The following is a 20349-nucleotide window of genomic DNA, read 5'->3' on the forward strand; positions in this document are numbered from 1 at the left end:
TCTGCCTCAGCCTCCAGAACTGCTGGGACGACAGGCGTGCGTCACCATGCCCAGCCCAGAGAGTCATTTTAATAAAGACACAGATGAGTTAAAGGATGAAGAAAGACCACGAGACGCACGCAGCTGGCATTGTCTTCTCTGTACAACTGTTACAGCAGTTTCCAGAGCCTACTCTCTCCTGGGCACAAGGGCATTTCTTAAGGAAAGACTCCTTGCACCAGCTGCAGAAGGGGCAACAGGTCCCAAACAAGCAGATCACTGTGGGCGTGTTGGAGAAGCTGGTGAGGCGCGTGCTCTCTGCCTCTGGGAAGGTCTCTGATGAGCTTGCTCTTGTGCGTGCTACGGAAGATCAGTGTAAAGGTGGCATGGTGGATCTGCAGATGGCAGCTTATTTCTTCAGACACCTAAAATTATGGCAGATAAAGATGACTCTGTGACCACTGGGCTCGCACCTGTAATCCCAGCACTTTGGGAGGCCAAAATGGGAGGATCACAAGGTCAGGAGTTCGAGACCAGCCTGGCCAATATGGTGAAACCCCATCTCTACTAAAAATACAAAAAAAATTAGCCAGGTGTTGTGGCGCATTCCTGTAATCCCAGCTACTCAGGAGGCTGAGGCAGGAGAATTGCTTGAACCCAGGAGGCAGAGGTTGCAGTGAGCCGAGATCACGCCACTGCACTCCAGCCTGGGCAACAGAGCGAGACTACGTCTAAAAACAAAAGAGTGAGACAGTCATCTCAACCTGGTACAGAGAGAGCTTGGTTGCATCATAATTGAGGTTTCCAATGCAGTGCACATTCTTACATATGTTGGATTACCCAAGCACTGTGTGATTGGAAGTGGGTGTGATCTGGATTCTGCCACGGATGGATTTGGGGAGAACACAGTGACTCAAGTGTGGCTGTGTGGAGTAGTGTGAACGTGGCAGGTGTTTCTCTCCAGGAATTGAATCCAGAAATGGGAACTAATGATGATCAGGAAACTTGGAAGGAAGTGTATAAGATAGTGGTTGAAAGTGCCTGTGGTCATCAAGCTAAAAGGATATACCGACTGGGCTCCTGGGTGAAGTGTAGCTGATCTTATTGAATCCACGTTGAAAAATCTGTCCAGGGCTCACCCAGTATCAACAATAGTGAAGGGGATGCAGGGCACCAAGAATGAAGCCCTCTGGAGCCTCCCATGTACCCTCACTGCTCAGGGATTAAACAGTGTTACCAACCACAGCTAAGGGATAATGAGGTTGTTCTGCTCAAGAAAAGTGCAGATACCCCGTGGGACATCCAAAAGGACCTCAAAGACCTGTGACTCCTAAGCTGTAGAAATTTAAAACCACAGTGAGATGAACCCTGAGCCTTCAGTGTTCATCCATATACATGCATCACCGTTTGCTTTTATCTTCTTCAGTATGTGAATTTGGGCTCACAGAATCAAATCCCATGCTTGATTTCATGCTTGCAATCGAGTCCTTGAACAAATACAATGAACCAAATGAACCATGGTAGCATGCTTCTTAACAAAAAGAAGAGAAGGCTGGGCGCGGTGGCTCACGCCTGCAGTCCCAGCACTTTGGGAGGCCGAGGCGGGCAGATTGCTTGAGCTCATGAGTATGAGACCAGCCTGGACAACATGGCAAGACCCCATCTCTACAAAAAAATACAAGAATTAGCCAGGCATGGTGGTGCATACCTATAGTCCCAGCTACCTGGGAGGCTGAGGTAGGAGGATGGCTTGACCTGGAGACAGAGATTGATTGCTGTGAGCCAAGATCACGCCACTGCACTCCAGCCCGGGCAAGATAGAGCCTTTTTTTTTTCTTGAGATGGAATCTTGCTCTGTTGCCCAGGCTGGAGTGCAGTAGTGCGATCTTGGCCCACTGCAGCTCCCGCCTCCAGGGTTCAAGCAATTCTCCTGCCTCAGCCTCCCAAGTAGCTGGGATTACAAGTGCCCGCCACCCACCACACCTGGCTAATTTTTGTATTTTTAGTAGAGATGGGATTTGGGCAGGCTGGTCTCGAACTTCTGACCTGAAGTGATCCACCCATCTCAGCCTCCCAAAATGCTGGGATTACAGGCGTGAGCCACGGCACCCGGCTGAGACCTTGTCTAAAGAAGAAAGAAGATGAAGAAAGACATACCATGAAGACGAATGCGAAAGATAAGAGTGGCTACATTCAGATCGAAGTAGACTTCAGGACAAGGAATCTCACCAGAGATAAGAGGTACCTTTCATAACGGTAAAACACCGACGTTCATCCCAAGACTTAACCCTAACTGGGCAGGCCTCTATTCACAGACCTCAAAATATGTAAAGCAAAAGCTGATGGGCAGACAAGAGCAACAGGAAACAGGCCTACCCATGGGTACAGCAGGAGTGCTGACCCTCTTCTTTCAGTAACTGAGAGGAGATAGCAGAAAATCAAGAGGGATAGAAAAGACTTGAAAAACACTCTTTGCTAATTGGAGCCAGTTGAGAGTCGTGTATCAGTACACTCAACAATGACAGTCGTGTAGCATTACACCCAACAACAGTCACATAGCATTACACCCAACAATGACAGTCACATAGAATTACACCCAACGATGACAGTCACGTAGCATTACACCCAACGACGACAGTCAGCATTACACCCAGCAACAACAGTCACATAGCATACACCCAACAATGACAGTCACATAGAATTACACCCAACAACAGTCATGTAGCATACACCCAACAACGACAGTCACGTAGAATTACACCCGACGGTCACATAGCATTACACCCAACGACAGTCACGTAGCATTATACCCAACAACGACAGTCATGTAGAATTACACCCAACAATGACAGTCACGTAGAATTACACCCAACGACGGTCACATAGCATTACACCCAACGACAGTCACGTAGCATTACACCCAACAACGGCAGTCACATAGAATTACACCCAACAATGACAGTCAGGTAGCATTACACCCAACAACAGCCGCACACACCAGGATGAGCACGGGTGGCTCATGAAACAAGGGTTAATATATTTAAAGGATTAAAATTATACAGAATGCATCCTCTGACCACAATGAGGTTAGATATCTAACAGAAAGATAACTAAATAACTAAACGGTTAGAAATTCAGCATAGGCTGGGTGCAGTGGCTCATGCCTGTAATCCTAGCACTTTGGGAGGCCAAGGCAGGTGGATCACAAAGTCAGGAGTTCAAGACCACCCTGGCCAAGATGGTGAAACCCCATCTCTACTAAAAATACAAAAAATTAGCTGGGCATGGTGGCGCGTGCCTGTAGTCCCAACTACTCAGGAGGCTGAGGCAGGAGAATCACTTGAACCCGGGAGGCGAAGGTTGCAGTGAGCCAAGATCGTGCCACTGCACTGCAGCCTGGGTGACAGAGTGAGACTCCGTCTCAAAAAAAAAAAAAAAAAAAAAAAAATTAAGCAATATATTTTTGAATAAATCTAATATAAAGAGAAAATTCTAAATAAATAACACACTTGTAAATCAGTAATCCACGAGTCAAAGAAAAATCACAAAGAACATTAGAAAATGTTTTGAATTTGATGAGTATGAAAATAATTGACCAAAAATTTGTCCGATGCACTAGAGCGTGTTTAGAGAGACATTTGTGGATTCAGATGGTTATATGATGCTGTAGACTAGTGTGTACCCCCAAAACTTGTGTGTGGAAATCCTCACCCCCAAGGTGATGGTATCAGGAGGTAGGGCCTTTGGGACGTGACGAGGTCGTGCAGGTGGAATCTGTGAATGGGATTCCTGCCCTTTTAAGAGCCCAGAGAAGTAGCCAGTCCCTTCCGCCATGCGAGGACACAGCAAGAAGGCACCATCAAAGATCCAGAAAGCAGCCCTCACCAAACAATGAGTCTGCCAGCGCCTCAATCTTGGGCTTCCCAGCCTCCAGAGCTGTGGGAAATAAATTTCCAGTGTTTATGAGTCACCCAATGTACAGTATTTTGTTATAGCAGCCAAAATGATCTAACACAACTGAAAACTACAAAACATGGTTGAAAAAAAAGTTGAAGACTAAAATAAATAGAGATGTATACCACATTATTGTCAAACCCAATATTAAGATGTCAGTCTCCTCCAAATTGATAATAGATTCAATCCAGAGCCCAGCAAAATTCTGGCTTTCTTTATAGAAAAATGACAAGCTGATTCTAAAATGTATATGGAAGTGCAAATAGTCAAAACAAATTTTAAAAGAACAAAGTTGGAAGACTTACTCTACCTAATACCAAAGACTTACTATAAATCAAGACATTGTGATATTAGCAAAAGGGGAGACATAGAGATCAACTGAGTTACACAGAGAGAATAAAACTTCATCCACTTACATCAGGTCAAGTTATTTTCAACAACGATGCCAGGCCAGGTACAGCGGCTCACACCTGTAATACCAGTACTTTGGGAGGCCGAGGCAGGTGGATCACTTGAGCTCAGGAATTCAAGACCAGCCTGGGCAACATGGTGAAACCCCATCTTTGCTAAAAATACAAATATTATCTGAGTGTGGTGGCACGCACCCGTAGTCCCAGCTACTCGGGAGGCCGAGGTGGGAGAATCACCCGCCCTGGGAAGTCGAGGCTGCAGTGAGCAGTGATGGCACCACTGCACTCCAGCCTGGGTCATGAGAGTGAGATCCTGTCTCAAAAAAGCAAAAACCAAATAAACAAAAAAATAAAGATGCCGAGGCAATTTTGACGAAAAAGCCAAACTTGTAAAATATTGAAAGAGGTTTACCCTTGAGCCCAGGAGTTTGAGGCTGCATGAGCCTATGATTGTGCCACTGCACTCCAGCCTGGGGGACAGAGCAAGATCCCATCTCAAAAAAAAAAAAAAGAAAAGAAAGAAAGAGAAAGACAGCAAGAAAGAAAGAAAAGAGAGAGAGAAAGAAAGAGAAAGAAAGAAAAGAGAAAGAAAAGAAAGAAAAAGAAAGAAAGAAAGAAAGAAAGAAAGAAAGAAAGAAAGAAAGAAAGAAAGAAAGAAAGAAAGAAAGAGGTTTATTCTGAGCCAATACAAGTGACCATGGCCCAGGGAACAGTTTCAGGAGGTCCTGAGAATGCACGTGAGGTGGCTGGGTTCCAGTTTGGTTTTACACATTTTAGGGAGGCAGAAGTTGTGGGCAAAGGCGTAAACGGATGCAGGTTAGTATACTTTGGTTTGCCTGGAAAGGCAGAGCATCTTGAAGTGAAGGTTGGAAGGGGCTTACAGGTCATGGATGGAGTCAAAGATTTTCTGATTGGCAACTGGTTGAAAGAATTAAAGACTTGAGGTCAGTAGAAAGAAATGCTTGAGATAGGATAAGGGGGTGTTGGGCTGGACGGGGTGGCTCATGCCTGGAGTCCCAGCACTTTGGGAGGCCAAGGCGGGTGGATTCGTTTGAGCCCAGGAGTTTGAGACCAGCCTGGGCAACACAGTGGATCTTGTCTCTGCAAAAAAACTCAGAAAATTTGCTGGGCGTGGTGGCACATTCCTGTAGTCCCGGCTACTCAGGAGGCTGAGGCAGGAGGATCACTTGAGCCTGGGAGGTCAAGGCCACAGTGAGCCCTGATTGTGCCACTGCCCTCCAGCCTGGGTGACAGAGCAAGACCCTGTCTCAAAATAAAATAAAATACATTAAAAAAACTGAAAGCTTGCTCTTTGATAGATACCATTAAGAAAACAAAAAGGTGGCTGGGCACGGTGGCTCACGCCTGTAATTCCAGCACTTTGGGGGGCTGAGACAGGCAGATCACGAGGTCAACAGATTGAGACCATCCTGGCTAACACGGTGAAACCGTGTCCCCACTAAAAATACAACAACAAAAAAAATTAGCCAGGCGTGGTGGCAGGTGCCTGTGGTCCCAGCTACTCGGGAGGCTGAGGCAGGAGAATGGCATGAACCCGGGAGGCAGAGCTTGCAGTGAGCCAGGATCGTGCCGCTGCATTCCAGCCTGACAGAGCAAGACTCTGTCTCAAAAAAAAAAAAAAAAAAAAAAAAAAGGCAAGGCATAGAATGGGAGAAAATATTTACAATACATAGCGCTGACAAAGGATCTGTGTCCAAAATATGTAAAGAACACTCAGAATTCAACAATAAGAAAATAAACCATTCTTAAAAATATGCCAAACATTCTATAAATAGACACTTCACTGAAAAAGATACAAATGGATATCAGACACATGAAAGGACCCTCCATGCCATTAGTTGTCAGTAAAATGCAAATGACAATCACGAGACACTATTACAAAGCTATTATAATTTTTTTAATTAAAAAGACAAATTGGGAGTGGTGGTGCACACCTGTAATCCCAGCTATTTGAGAGGCTGAGGTGGCAGGATCGCTTGAGGCCAGGACTTGAGAGCAACCTGGGCAACATAGCAAGACTCTGTTGCAAAAGACAAAAAAGAAAAAGAAAAAATTAGAAAAAAAGACTGACAATACCAAGTTTTGGCAGAGATGTGGAGACGCTGTTGTGGGGAACATGCAATGGTGCACCCACTTTGGAGAAACAGGTAGCAGTTTCTCCGGAAGCTAAACACGCACCTATCACACGCCCCAGCCATTCCACTCCCAGGTATTTACTGAAGGGAAAGCACGGATCCACAAAAGACCTGCACACAAACATTCACGGCAGCTTTATTTGTAACTACCAAAACAATGGAAACAACAACCCAAATGTCCTTCAACAGGTGCATGAGCAGACGATTATGGTAGAGCCAAACAACGGGATGTGCCTTCGCACTAAAAAGGGTGAAGGCATGCTGCATACAGCAACATGCGCAAGCCTCAAAAACATCACCCAAAGAGAAAGAACCTAGACACAACGAAGTACACACTCTGTGCTTCCAACAAAGTGAAATGCTGTGATACAAAACTCATCTCTTGTGACAAAGCAGACCCGTGGCCGTGTGGGTTTAGGGGTCGGGTGAACCGCAGAGGCCATGCGGGAGCCCTCTGGATTGAAGAAAATGTTTCCTATCTTGATTGGGGTGGTGGTTTCATGGGTATACATACTTGTAAAAATTCTTCAAACTGAGCACCTAAAATGGGTTTATTTTATGTAAACTAACCTCAATGAAGTTGATTTTAAAAGTTAAAAGAGGCCAGGTGCAGTGGCTCACGCCTGTAATGTCAGCACTTTGGGAGGCAGAGGCAGGCAGACCACTTGAGGCCAGGAGTTCAAGACCAGCCTGTCCAACATGCCGAAACCTCATCTCTACTAAAAATACAAAATTAGCCTAGCTTGGTGGCACATGCCTGTAATCCCAGCTACTTGGGAGGCTGAGGCAGAAGAAACACTTGAACCTGGAAGGCGGAGGTTGCAGTGAGCCAAGATCATGCCTCTACACTCTAGCCTGGGCAACAGAGCAAGACTTTCTCAAAATAAAATAAAAATTAAAAGAAAAAATGGAAAATGAACGAGGCATTTTTACCTAGCTCTACTTAGATAAACTAATAGTTCCTCATTGAGGATCTTTTTCAAAGTCAGTGCCATGGTCATCGTGATCTTTCTTAATGGTCTTGTCTGGATCCTAAAGTTTTCTTCTTATGAAACAGAAACAGACAATGGCTAGATTAACTGATGACTGATGCCTCCAGGTAGCCTTCCTAACAGATACCACCTGGAGACCACAGATGGACATGTGTCTGCAGGTCTTTCGTCACACCCTTCCTCTCATCACCATCTCCTCAGGCATGACGTGAACACGGTTCTGACATGTCTGTCCCGTGATGCTCAGTTCTGCTGCATGGCAACAGTAACATAGAGCCTTTTTTTTCTTTTTTTTTATTTTTATTTTTTTTTTGAGACAGTCTCGCTCTGTCGCTAGGCTGGAATGCAGTGGTGCGATCTCAGCTCACTGCAACCTCCACCTCCCAGGTTCAAGTGATTCGCCTACCTCAGCCTGCCGAGTAGCTGGTATTACAGGTGACTGCCACCACACCCAGCTAATATTTGTATTTTTAATAGAGACGGGGTTTCACCATGTTGGCCAGGCTGGTCTCGATCTCCTGACCTCGTGATCCACCCTCCTCGGCCTCCCAAAGTGCTGGGATTACAGGCATGAGAAAACGCGCCGGGCCTCACAGAGCCATTTTTAAATCCCCCTTTGAGGTTAGTCATGAGTTCAGATGGAGAAGTGGCTTCATGTGGATTTCAGTTCCCATTCTGTGTTTTTCATTATTAGGAATAGGCTCTGGTTAGCAGGATTTCATTCTTAAATAAAAATAGGCTCTAATTAAGCACACCTTGGATCCCAGGGCTCTCAGGAGACAGCATTCCAGTGAGTCTGTAATGGGCACATGAGCATTATTGCAGTTACCGAATTTCTCTTGCTGCAAATGACTTTGAACTATTTTTTTTAAACCCACTTTCGAAGAAGGTAAAAGTTTTGGTTCTTTTTTGTGAGAGGGTTCCGTTTCATAACCTTCTAAAAACAAGACTACCATGGTTTAAGTACTTCAAGGAAATTGGTAAACCTTGCCCATTTTAAGAGGCTTAAGTCACGGCACCTAACACTCAGGACAGTATTAAGGCCTTCTCATGAGCAGCTCCTGGAAAGCAACTCAGACACAGAAGCCGAAAGGCTGACACCCTCTGACCCAGCCATTCTCCAAGGAGTCTCTCAAAAGGAAACTATCCAAGATGAACCAACACATAGGTATAAAAGATGCTCCCAAAGGCATTATTTTTTTTTAAATTTTATTATTATTATTTTTTGAGATGGAGTCTCACTCTGTTGTCCAGACTGGAGTGCAGTGGCACCATCTTGGCTCACTGCAACCTCCGCCTGCCAGATTCAAGCAATTCTCCTGCCTCAGCCTCCCAAGTAGGTGGGACTACAGGTGCCCACCACCATGCCTGGCTAATTTTTGTGTTTTTAGTAGAGACAGGATTTCACTATATATTGGCTAGGCTGGTCTCGAACTCCTGACCTTGTAATCTGCCCACCTCGACCTCCCAAAGTGCTGGGATTACAAGTGTGAGCCACGATGCCCGGTCCATTTTATTATTTTTGAGACAAGGTGTTGCTCTGTTGCTCAGGCTGGAGTTCAGTTGTACAATCACAGCTCACTGCAGCCTTGACCTCCCGGGTTCAAGCAATCCTCCCACCTCAATTTCCCAAGTAGCTGAGATCACAAGCATGCACCATCACACTCAGCTAATTTTTGTATTTTTTGTAGAGATGGGGTCTCCCTATGTTGCCCAGGCTAATCTCAAACTCCTGGAATCAAGCAATCCTCCCACGTCGGCCTCCCAAAGTGCGGGGATTATAGGCGTGAGCCACTCTGCCTGGCCCCAAAGGCATTATTTTAAACAGAAAAAAGTAATCTAAATTCCCATAGAAGGGGCTCATTTACAAAATTATCACATCATGGGAGTTTTGCTTCTTTTTTCTGCTTATTAGCATATATTTTACTTTAACACTTCCTGTTTTGCATTTTTCTGACATGTCATTTGTTAACTCTAATTGTACACTGATCAGCATGATCAGTCGCCCTCTCATTCATTAACCCTAACCATACACTGATCAGCAAGATCTTTGCCTCTCCTTGGTTAACCCTAACCGTACACTCATCAGCACGATCGTTGCCTCTCCTTGGTTAACCCTAACCGTACACTCATCAGCACGATCGTTGCCTCTCCTTGGTTAACCCTAACCGTACACTCATCAGCACGATCGTTGCCTCTCCTTGGTTAACCCTAACCGTACACTCATCAGCACGATCCATTGCCTCTCATTGGTTAACCCTAACCGTACACCCATCAGCATGATCAGTTGCCTCTCCTGTCATTAATGGACCAACAGGAAATGCTGCTGAGGTAAGTGTGCACGAGCACGGTAAAGAAGTGAAAATCAAGGACCCCAGTGACGAGTGACAGACAGGAGCTTCAAGCTCAGGTCCGCCTGGTGCCAAAGCCCACATTCTGAGTAGCCTCAACAGAGCTCAGCTCTGATGCAACCCCAGGGAGAATGGAAGGCTCGAGGGAGGAAGACCCCTGGCAACCTGTCCTCCCCCCAGGTCCAGTGCTAGAAATTCTGATCACCACAACAATAGTCTCTTCCGATATGGGACAATTTGCTGATTCTTGGGAAAAGAAAACAATCACGGATAGGGAGAGATTTGCTAAAGGATACAAAATTACAGAAGAAACAAGTTCCAGCGTTCTACAGCACTGGACAGGGACTACAGTACTGGACAGGGACTACAGTTTCAAATAGCTAGAGGGAGGATGCAGAATGACCCCAATACCAAGAAATGATGTTTGATTTGACAGAAGTGTTAATTACCTTGATCTCATCACTACACGTTATATGGATCCAAACATCACTACGTACTCCATAAACGTGCAATTATTATATGTCAATTAAAAAATAAAATAAGGCAGTGCTCATGCCTGTAATCCCAGCACTTTGGGAGACTGAGGCAGGAAGATGGCTTGAGAGCCGGGCGTGGTGGCTCACGCCTGTAATCCCAGCACTTCGGGAGGCTGAGGCGGGCAGATAACGAGGTCAGGAGTTCGAGACCAATCTGGCCAACATAGTGAAACCCTGTCTCTACAAAAAATACAAAAAATTAGCCAGGCGTGGTGGCGGGCGCCTATAATCCCAGCTACTCGGGAGGCTGAGGCAGGAGAATTGTGTGAACCCGGGAGGCGGAGGTTGCAGTGAGCTCAGATTGTGTCACTGCACTCCAGCCTGGGCAACAGAATGAGACTCCTTCTCAAAAATAAATAAATAAATAATAAAAATAAAAACAAATAAAAATACAAAAATCAGCTGGGCATGGTGGCAGGTGCCTGTAATCCCAGCTACTCGGGAGGCTGAGGCAGGAGAATTGCTTGAACCCAGGAGGCGGAAGTTGCAGTGAGCCAAGATTGTGCCACCGCACTCCAGCCTGGGTGACAGAGTGAGACTCCAGAGTGAGACTCCTTCTCAAAAATAAATAAATAAATAAGTAACTTAAGCTAGACTTGGACAAATTTAAGTGCCCTTGGGTAAGAAGGTGCAACACCACAAAGATGTCAACCTCCCTCAGTGAACTTGTACATGCAACGTGATCCAGTGAAAACGCCATTGGCTATAGACATAAGAGTGGCAGAAGCCTGATACCTTCATCCAGTCCCATGTTAACTCCTTACAGAACCATGGTGCACCCATCAAAAACAAAAGATGAATTTTGGTGCACTGCCATTAGCTAAAGTACAAAGCTCATTTGAATGTTACCAATTTTTGACAAATGCCCTATCTCTATTCTAGCAGCTGGTCCAGGGTCCCACGCTGCATTGGTCCTCATGTCTCCTTGGTGTCTTTGTCTGTGACAGTTCATTTTTCTTTCACAGTCTGTCATGACCTTGAGGTTTTGAGGAGTACTGGTCAGGTACCTGGTAGACCTGCCTTCCATCTGCGCTGGTCTGTTTTCTGAAGGCCAGCACCAAGGGGGCTGGGCATGTACAGCGGCCTGTCAGGAGGCACATGGTGCCAGCAGATCCTGCCACAGGGGATACCAGCCTCCATCAGCAGACTCAGCTCGTGGCAGCCGGGAGGCTTCAAGGCGATGCAAATACGTTTCTCCTTAAACATTCCTGTTCAGGTCTGCCAGTGGACACAGCCTACAGCAATCCTTATGACGGTGGAAATGCTAATTTTCCACTTCCCTCCTCCTTTCTGCATTGAATGATGGGAATTTCTGTAAGAAAGATTTGTTTCTTCTCCTCTACTTATTCAGTTTTTTCCATCCGAAGGGATTCAGGGACTGCCGAGACCAGCTCAGTCGGGGAGACCCTAACTGAGCGGCGCTAGAGGAATTAAAGACACACAAACAGAAATACAGAGGTGTGAAGTGGGAAATCAGGGGTCTCACAGCCTTCAGAGCTGAGAGCCCTGAACAGAGATTTACCCACATATTTACTAACAGCAAACCAGTCATTAGCATTGTTTCTATAGATATTAAATTAACTAAAAGTATCCCTTATGGGAAACGAAGGGATGGGCCAAATTAAAGGAATAGGTTGGGCTAGTTAACTGCAGCAGGAGTATGTCCTTAAGGCACAGATCGCTCATGCTATTGTTTGTGGCTTAAGAATGCCTTTAAGTGGTTTTCCACCCTGGGCCAGCCAGGTGTTCCTTGCCCTCATTCCTGTAAACCCACAACCTTCCAGCTTGGGCGTTAGGGCCATTATGAACATGTCACAGTGCTGCAGAGATTTTGTTTATGGCCAGTTTTGGGGCCAGTTTATGGCCAGATTTTGGGGGGCCTGCTCCCAACAAGAGACATTTATTCTTTTGCTCATACACCAAAGCTATTATTCTTTACTTTCCTACTCAAACTCTTCCAGCTTTGGCCACTGGGAATGTTTTTTGGGGTGGCATCTGGGTCCTTTTATCACACCTATCAGTTTGCTTTTCAAGTACATCCTAATTTCCTGGAGCCACAAGATGCTCCAGGCTCATTTTGCATTTTCCCTCCCAGTCTTGGATCAACCATTCTCCAAGGAGCCCAGATTCCTTTACTGGAGGACAGTGTTGAGAGACCAGGATGTGGCCACAGCCTGTGCTTGCTGTCGCTGAAGCTGCAGCTTCAGCTCTGTCAGCAGCTGGAGCCAGGAGAGGAGAGGAGGGTCCGTGACTCACGTGTGCATGCACGTGCAGGTCTGCTTATTTCTGTAACTATGCGGCTGTATCTATTTAAAGACACCTGGGTTCATCCTGAGGCCCCAGGGCCTGCCCATCCAGTGCCACAGAACTCATTCTCACCTGTACCTTTCCTTACTCATAACTTCTGTCTTCCACAGGGAGGACCTGCAAATCATCATTATCTGCAGAATATCCACTGGTTCCACACTGGCAAACACATAGTTTGCTAATCCACACCCCTGTGGGAAACAAATTTACCAACTGGAGTGTGGTGTTTCTGAACAGCTCTTGCGCCTTTAACCTCACAGTATTAAAGGAAAGCAGAATGCGTCACTGTAAAATATGCCTCTTTGACATAAAACTTATTTTGAGCTAAAAGCAATTTAGCAGCAAATGGAGGAAAAGCTCTTCTACACCAAGACAGGATATAAATTCTCCTTTACTGGAGACAACTCTGGATGCTCACCAGCTCGGAGAAGATACCAGGGAAATCTGCAAGCAAACCTTACCCCATTCGTTTCCTCTCATATATTTTAGCTTCCCACAATTTCCCACCTTTGGAAGCCCAGAATTGCTTTCTTTTGCCCTCTGTCTGCAAATGTATTGTTCTTTCCTGCAGATGCTGTAAGCCAGAGTTGTGAGCCACTGCTTTGTTATTTTCACTGAGTGAGGTGGTTTGGATATTTGTCCCTCCAAATCTCATGTTGAAATACATAATCTCCAGTGTTGGAGGTGGGGCCTGGTGGGAGATGTGTGGGTCATGGGGGCGGATTCCTCGTGAATGGCTTGGTTCTCTCCTTGTGGTACCAAGCGAGAACCTGTTCTGAGTTCATGAGAGCTGGTGGTTTCAGGCGGCCTGGCGTCTCTCTCTTGCCAGGTGATGCGCCTGCTCCTCCGCCTTCTGCCACGATTGGAAGCTCCCTGAGGCCTTCCTAGAAGCAGATGCCAGCACCATGCATTCTGTGCAGCCTGCAGAACCATGAGCCAAAATAAACCTCTTATTTGTAAATTACCCAGCCTCAAGTATGCCTTTTTAGCGATGCAAACAGCTAACACGCTGAGATTCCTCCCATTGATGCACACCGTGTGTGTTTATCAACCGTTTGCTTTTCTCTTGTTAACCTGTCTTTTGTCACAGGACTCTGTCCCAACTCAGAAGTCATGGAGGTTGAGGAAGATCATATTTCCTCCCCAAAAGCATCCTGTGAAGACTTCAAGTCACTTAGACCAGCTCCTTTCTTCCTCACGTCCTTCAGTGTGGCTGCGGGACTCGCTCCCATGCACTGTCTTTGCTGGTCACAGCCTGCATTCTGTCTTGGGTCTTCCCCCATCCCTACCTCCAGGTAGATTTCCAACATTAATGTATAGTAAAGCTTAGTCTGTGATGTGCATCTCTATGGGTTTGACAAATATTCAGAATGTCCTCCACCACCATATTCCTTACAGAACTGTCTTGTCATCCTGGAACCCCCATGGCCCCAGCCCAACCCCAGAATTTTCCTGTCATCCCAGAACCCCCACAGCCCCCTGACCCCAGAACTGTCCCGTCACACTGGAATGCTGGGGCCGGCTCTCCCCCGGGCCCCAGAACTGTCCCGTCATGCTGGAATGCTGGGGCCAGCTCCCCGCTGCCCCAGCAGTCCCTAGTGCTTTGCTTTTTCCAGAATGTCATGTGCACGGAATCCCACTTGTGACCTTTTGGGGCTTGTTTTTGTTTTGTTTTGTTGTTTTGTTTTGTTTTGCTTCACAAAATGCATTTATGGTTCAGGCTGGGCGTGGTGGCTCACGTCTATAATCCCCACACATTGGGAGGCTGAGGTGGGAAGATCACTTGAGCTCAGGAGTTCAAGACCAGCTCGTAATCCCAGCACTTTGAGAGGCTAAGGCAGGAGGTTCGCTTGAGCCCAGGAGATCAAGACCAGCCTGGGTAACACGGCAAGACCCCGTCTCTATAAAAAGTTCAGAAAATTAACCATGTGTGGTAGCACGCACCTGTGGTCCCAGCTACTCGGGAGGCTGGGGAGGGAGGATCACTTGAGCTCAGGAGTTCGAGGTTGCAGTGAGCCAAGATTGTGCCACTGCACTCCAGCCTAGGTGACAGAGCAAGACCCTGTCTCAAAAAAAGAAAAAAAAAAAACAGGAAAAAAAAAAGAAAAAAGGAACAAAAAGCACTCCTTAAAACTTGGAAAGAAATGAAGTCAATGAACCTAACTGTATAGACAGTGGGTGGCACAACCACACAAAGAAGATGCCTTGAGTGACTTTTACACAGAGCACCAGCTGCTGCCCTGGGAGGACATGCCCAAAAGACGAAAAAGAGCTGTGGACAGACCCTCAAGGCACCCAGCAGTCCTGGTGGTGACCTGGGTGCTGCCCTGCAAAGCAATCACTCACAGATTGTAGGAGAAAGCAAATTATGGGACCCTTGTCAGGGGTCAAGATTGTCAGCGTAAGAAAACACAGGTGCAAATACAGACATAAACAAGAAGTTAGGTCGGGTGCAGTGGCTCACACCTGTAATCCCAGCACTTTGGGAGGCTGAGGCGGGAGGATCACCTAAGGTCGAGAGTTTGAGACCGGCCAAGCCAACATGGAGAAACCCCGTCTCTATTAAAAATACAAAAAATTTAGCCGGGCATGGTGGTGCATGTCTGTAATCACAGCTACTCAGGAGGCTGAGGCAGGAGAATCGCTTGAACCTGGGAGGCGGAGGTTGTGGTGAGCTGAGATCGCACCATTGCACTCCAGCCTGGGCAACAAGAGTGAAACTCCATCTCAAAAAAAAAAAAAGATGTTAAAACTCCCTAATTATCATTTGAATAGAAAATCCCAGTATAAAGTCCTGATTTTCTCTTAAATGTTCTGTCTTTCTTAGGTCTGTGTATGGAAAAGACCTAGAAGCTTGACAAACCAGTTGCTAAAATAGATTGTGATCTCGATGAAAGTTGATCAGAGAAATTGGGTCATTCTCGCCACACCCAACTAAAACAGTCAAAGAGCCTGGGGAGAAAGCACTCAGGACACACAATGTTGCTCCAAAATGTAATTCTCTTCAAGCCTGGCAGTGAAAACTGCTGCTGTAACCTGAATCCAGTTCCATCCATGGCTGCTGAGACACCCGACAGCCCCAGAGGACAAACTTCCCCGCCCCCGCTGCCGCCCACGCCCACGGACCCTGCCAGATCCCGGACAGAGCTTTACCAACAGCAGGGAACTTTCTCTCAAGACCTTCCTCATTCTTATCGAACCCCGAATCTTCTCTTTGTTCTTCAAAGACACGCAGTTTGTGTGTATGCCCCTGTGAAACTGAATGAATCAAACATAAAGCCTTTGAAATTGTGAATTACCCTGAGCCTTGAAGGAAATGTGGCTATACGGCATAGGTCATGCCACACGCAGCTGCAACTTCTGCCTTTCTCCCTGTAAACAATAAAGACCAAATGGCACCGGAGATAAGACCCCCTCAGATCACTACCCCTCCTCATGGAGTCATAACGCAATCTTCCTTCAAATACAGAGATCCCTAACCAATGGAACCGCTGCGGCGTGTGCCCCTGGTCTCATATGAGAACTGTGGTGATCCTGCTGGAGCTTCTGTCTCTGCGTGGTAAGTGAAACCTGAGCTTCTCCACTTGGAAACGCTGACCCCATGTGTCTGCAGTCAGTGCCTTCCCGGGTGGCCATCCTCAAGCTCTGCACTCAAATACACACTATAGGTAATCAGATTTTCTGAATCTCATTATTTGCAGTTGACACCTGAATTGCAATGCTTTCTTCCCAAATAAAACGTTAAATTTGGAGAGTCATCTCTACATTTTTGACTCTGACATCTCTAAAGACCATTTTTCATCAAAATAAACCAGGGCTTTTTTTTTTTTTTTTTTTAGACAGAGTCTCACTCTGTTGCCCAGGCTGGCGTGCAATGGCATGATCTCAGCTCACTGCAACCTCTGCCTCCCAGGTTTCAAGTGATTCTCATGTCTCAGCCTCTGGAGTAGCTGGGATTACAGGCGCACGCCAACACAGCCCGCTAATTGTTGTATTTTTAGTAGAGACAGGGTTTCAACACGTTGGCCAGGCTGGTCTCAAACTCCTGTCTTCACAGGATCCTCCCACCTCAGCCTCCCCAAGTGCTGGGATTACAGGTGTGAGCCACTGCGCCTGGCCCAAACCAGGGCTTCTTGATGAAATCATGGATTCCAACTGTGACCTAGAAATGCCCAAGGTGAGTTTAGCCGTAATGTTGGTAACTGGGCTGGACATAGTGGCTCCCATCTATAATCCCAGCATTTTGGGAGGCCGAGGCGGGATGCTCACTTGAGCCCAGGAGTTCACAATAAGCCTGAGCAACATAGCAAACCCTGTCTTTTATACAAAAGTAAAAATAAATTAGCCAGGTGTGACAGTGCGTGCCCGTAGTTGGAGGTGCTTGGGAGGCTGAGGTGGAAGGCTCAGTTGCACCCAGAAGGATGAGGCTGCAGTGTTGGGCAACCCAGCCTGGGCAACACAGTGAGACCCTACCTCTAAAAAACATTTTTTAAGTAGTAACTGAAAGGCGGGTAATAGTGGTAGGCAAGGCGGGGATCATTATATTATTCTACTTTTATTTAAAATATCCTTTAGAATTGTTACAAAAAGACTACTTATCTCAATTTTTACCTATCAACCACTACTTTATTTCAAATACTGAGCCCATGTATCAGCTTCCAAACCTGAACTCTTGTGGCAGAAACTGCAGAAGAAAATTTCAGGAGCCTGTTTCTTGTGCCAAGCGGGAAGCTAGGCCCTGTGGCCTGAGTCATGCAGCACGTTTGCAACTTCAGCTTCTTGGACTGGTTAGGCTGACAGGTGACCACACAGCCTCTTGTTCTTGTTTTGTAAATGACTAGGAGAGACCAGAGACCAGACTTCCCCGCTTCCCATTACTGATCTTTGCTGTGGACCAGCCGCCTCCTTCATTGTCCTGTGCATCTGTCCTAACTCAGACTAGATGGCACGACGACCCCGTGACGTAGTCCGTGTGGAACGCCAAACATACCTTTCCCAATAGGAAAAGACCACCTTGGCTAATCGGAGCACAGTAACTGTGCATTCACCCTCAGAGAGAAAGATGCTGGAATTGTGTTAAGTTTCCCTAAACTTCATCTATAGAAATGATCCCAAACTGCTACATTTCAGAACACCGACTTCTGTTCTTTGGAATCTGTGCTTCCTGGGCGGCCTGTCCTCAAACTTTGCACTTGAATAATCTCTCTTTAAAGTAGATTCTGACTCTTGATTATTTTAGGTTAACAATGTCTTCAGGGAAATATATTCCACACTGAATTCCTAACTTAAAAAACAAAGAAAAGCTATAAAATGTGAAAAAAAAAAAAAAAAAGGTCAGGCGCGGTGGCTCATGCCTGTATTCCCAGCACTTTGGGAAGCCAAGGAGGGTGGATCACTTGAGGTCAGGAGTTCAACAGCCTGGACAACATAGTGAAACCCTGTCTCTACTAAAAACACAAAAATTAGCTTGGCATGGTGGTGCATGCCTGTGATCCCAGCCAATTTTTTAAAAATTGGCCAGGTGTGATGGTGTGCACCGGTAGTCCCATCTACTTAGGACGCTGAGGTGGGAAGGCCGCTTGAGGCTGCAGTGAGCCTTGATTCCAACACTGCACTCCAGCCTGGGAGACAGAGAGAAATCCTGTCACAAAACAAAACAAAACAAAAAAGAAAGAAGGGGGAAGAAAAGAAAAAGGAAAGAATCAGAAAAAGAAGAAAAAAAGAAAAGAAAAGAAGGGAGGGAGGGAGTAGGGCATCACTTTGTCTAAATAATTGTAACCACAAAAAAGTGGAGACAGGTGAAGTAAATAGATGAGTATGGCCAGAGCATGGGGCAGCAGCAGGAAAGGAAAGAACAGATATGTATGGTTTGGACTAGATGAGTGTTTCTGAGCCTTTTTTTGATAAATGCCCTCCCTCCGTTCTGATACACACTTTAGGACACAGTGTGGGAATCATGTCATCTCTGAACCTCCTTCAACCAAGATTTTGTCCAGCATTAGATTCTATTTTTGCATTGTTAAGCAGGTTTTTGTTTTGCACCATAAAACTGTAATATTCAGTATGCTTGTTCAAACACCTCTCCTACTTTCTAAACCCTACTTCTAGCCTCCTTAAGAAGCAGTGGATCAGAGGAGTCCCCGAATTTAAACCTCCAGAGTTTCGCGTAATTGTCTCATTCCACTGCAGGGGAGAAAATATAATTTCTCTTCTTTCTCTCTTTATTAGTTGAGACATTCTCCTGAAAACAAAATTCAGAGCAACAGGAGAAACAAGCAGAAGTTTATTAGCACTTGCTGTACCCATCGTGTGAGAGGCCTCAGTTCAGAAGTATTTCTCTCTCAAGGCATGTTGTGAACAGCACAAGGTCAGACATAACCAGGTCCACACACGTTTATGTCTTTCCACAGGGTGGGAATATATTGATGCTATTTCAATTATAAAAGCCACGAGCTACGAGGAGTTGCCTCGAGACAATTCCCTTCAGTACTACTTGTTAACTTGGTAGAGCCATGGGCAAAGGCTCAAGCCAGTCCACGTGTCAGTCAATACTGCAAACTATACATCATAGTGTACTTAAAATACAAACGCTATGGTTTAAACATTCCCCATCAAACAAAGTAACATTGGACATCAAGAGAAAGAGGATAGGAAAAGGGGTTAATGGATCAATCCAAGGAAAGCAATGACGGGAACAAGGAGTGTATTCCAGCCTGATCCAGACAGAAGTCATTGTCTTCCAAGGAAGTCCTTGATGTGAGCAGATCCTTAGGCAGCAGATGCAGGGTGCTAAGCACAAGTGACAGCAAGGTGGGGTCTATCAAAATGCCAGTGTTGAATTGGTCAAATCCCGCCCTTTTTAAGGTCACAGTCCTCTGGTGAGGACTGATAGTGAGTGCCTGGTCCTGTCTTTATCTGGCTGAGTGCTGTCTCTATTAACTAGGTGCACATCCAGTCCCCGTTGCTATGATGCCTTTTGAAATGTAAGATTAAATCTTTTTCTAAGATGTAGGTACTTATGCGACGGGTGCTTTATACAAAGCAGTAGCGTAGGGGCCTTAATTAAATAGTATTTTAACAAAAGGCCATAAATCCTATATGATGACAAGCCAAAAAACAGAGCATCTTCAGACTTCTAAAATGCAGGAGCCAGGCGCCGTGGCTCAGGGCTGTAATCTCAGCACTTTGGGAGGCCGAGGCGGGTGGATTGCTTGAGGTCAGGAGTTCGAGACCAGCCTGGCCAACTGGTGAAACCCCGTCTCTACTCAACATACAAAATCAGCCGGGCGTGGTGGCGCACGCCTGTAATCCCAGCTACTTGGGAGGCTGAGGCAAGAGAATCGCTTGAACCCGGGAGGCGGAGGTTACAGCGAGCCGAGATCGCGCCACTGCACTCCAGCCTGGGCGACAGAGCGAGACTCCGTCTCAAAAAAAAAAACAAAGTGCTCGACAGGAACTTTCTGTAAGCCAAAGAGTATCGCCATCGCACCTTCACCTTCACCTTGGGCAGCCTGGTGCCGTCTTCCCTCAGCCCGCGATTAACGAGCGGAAGGCCGCACTGACCCATTTCAGATCCCTTATTTCCTTCCTAAAACCACTCAAGAGTTTGGGCACAGTGGCCTCCCTGTGTGAGGAACTTGCTTCCCACTCACCAAAAGACAAAC

General features: G+C 46.2%; 1 pseudogene, besides 2 other annotated features; it reads left to right on the plus strand.

Moving 5' to 3' along the window:
* Nucleotides 111–1503, plus strand: LDHBP1 (lactate dehydrogenase B pseudogene 1; annotated as a pseudogene).
* Nucleotides 15253–15762: an enhancer, noted in NCBI's record as "H3K4me1 hESC enhancer chr13:113945996-113946505 (GRCh37/hg19 assembly coordinates)". NCBI's record gives its function as "activates a minimal SCP1, AML or CMV promoter by ChIP-STARR-seq in primed H9 embryonic stem cells {active_cell/tissue: H9 hESC(primed)}" and the evidence as "EXISTENCE:reporter gene assay evidence [ECO:0000049][PMID:30033119]".
* Nucleotides 15763–16271: an enhancer, noted in NCBI's record as "H3K4me1 hESC enhancer chr13:113946506-113947014 (GRCh37/hg19 assembly coordinates)". NCBI's record gives its function as "activates a minimal SCP1, AML or CMV promoter by ChIP-STARR-seq in primed H9 embryonic stem cells {active_cell/tissue: H9 hESC(primed)}" and the evidence as "EXISTENCE:reporter gene assay evidence [ECO:0000049][PMID:30033119]".

Source organism: Homo sapiens, chromosome 13, assembly GCF_000001405.40.
Source record: "Homo sapiens chromosome 13, GRCh38.p14 Primary Assembly".
Lineage (NCBI taxonomy): Eukaryota > Metazoa > Chordata > Mammalia > Primates > Hominidae > Homo > Homo sapiens.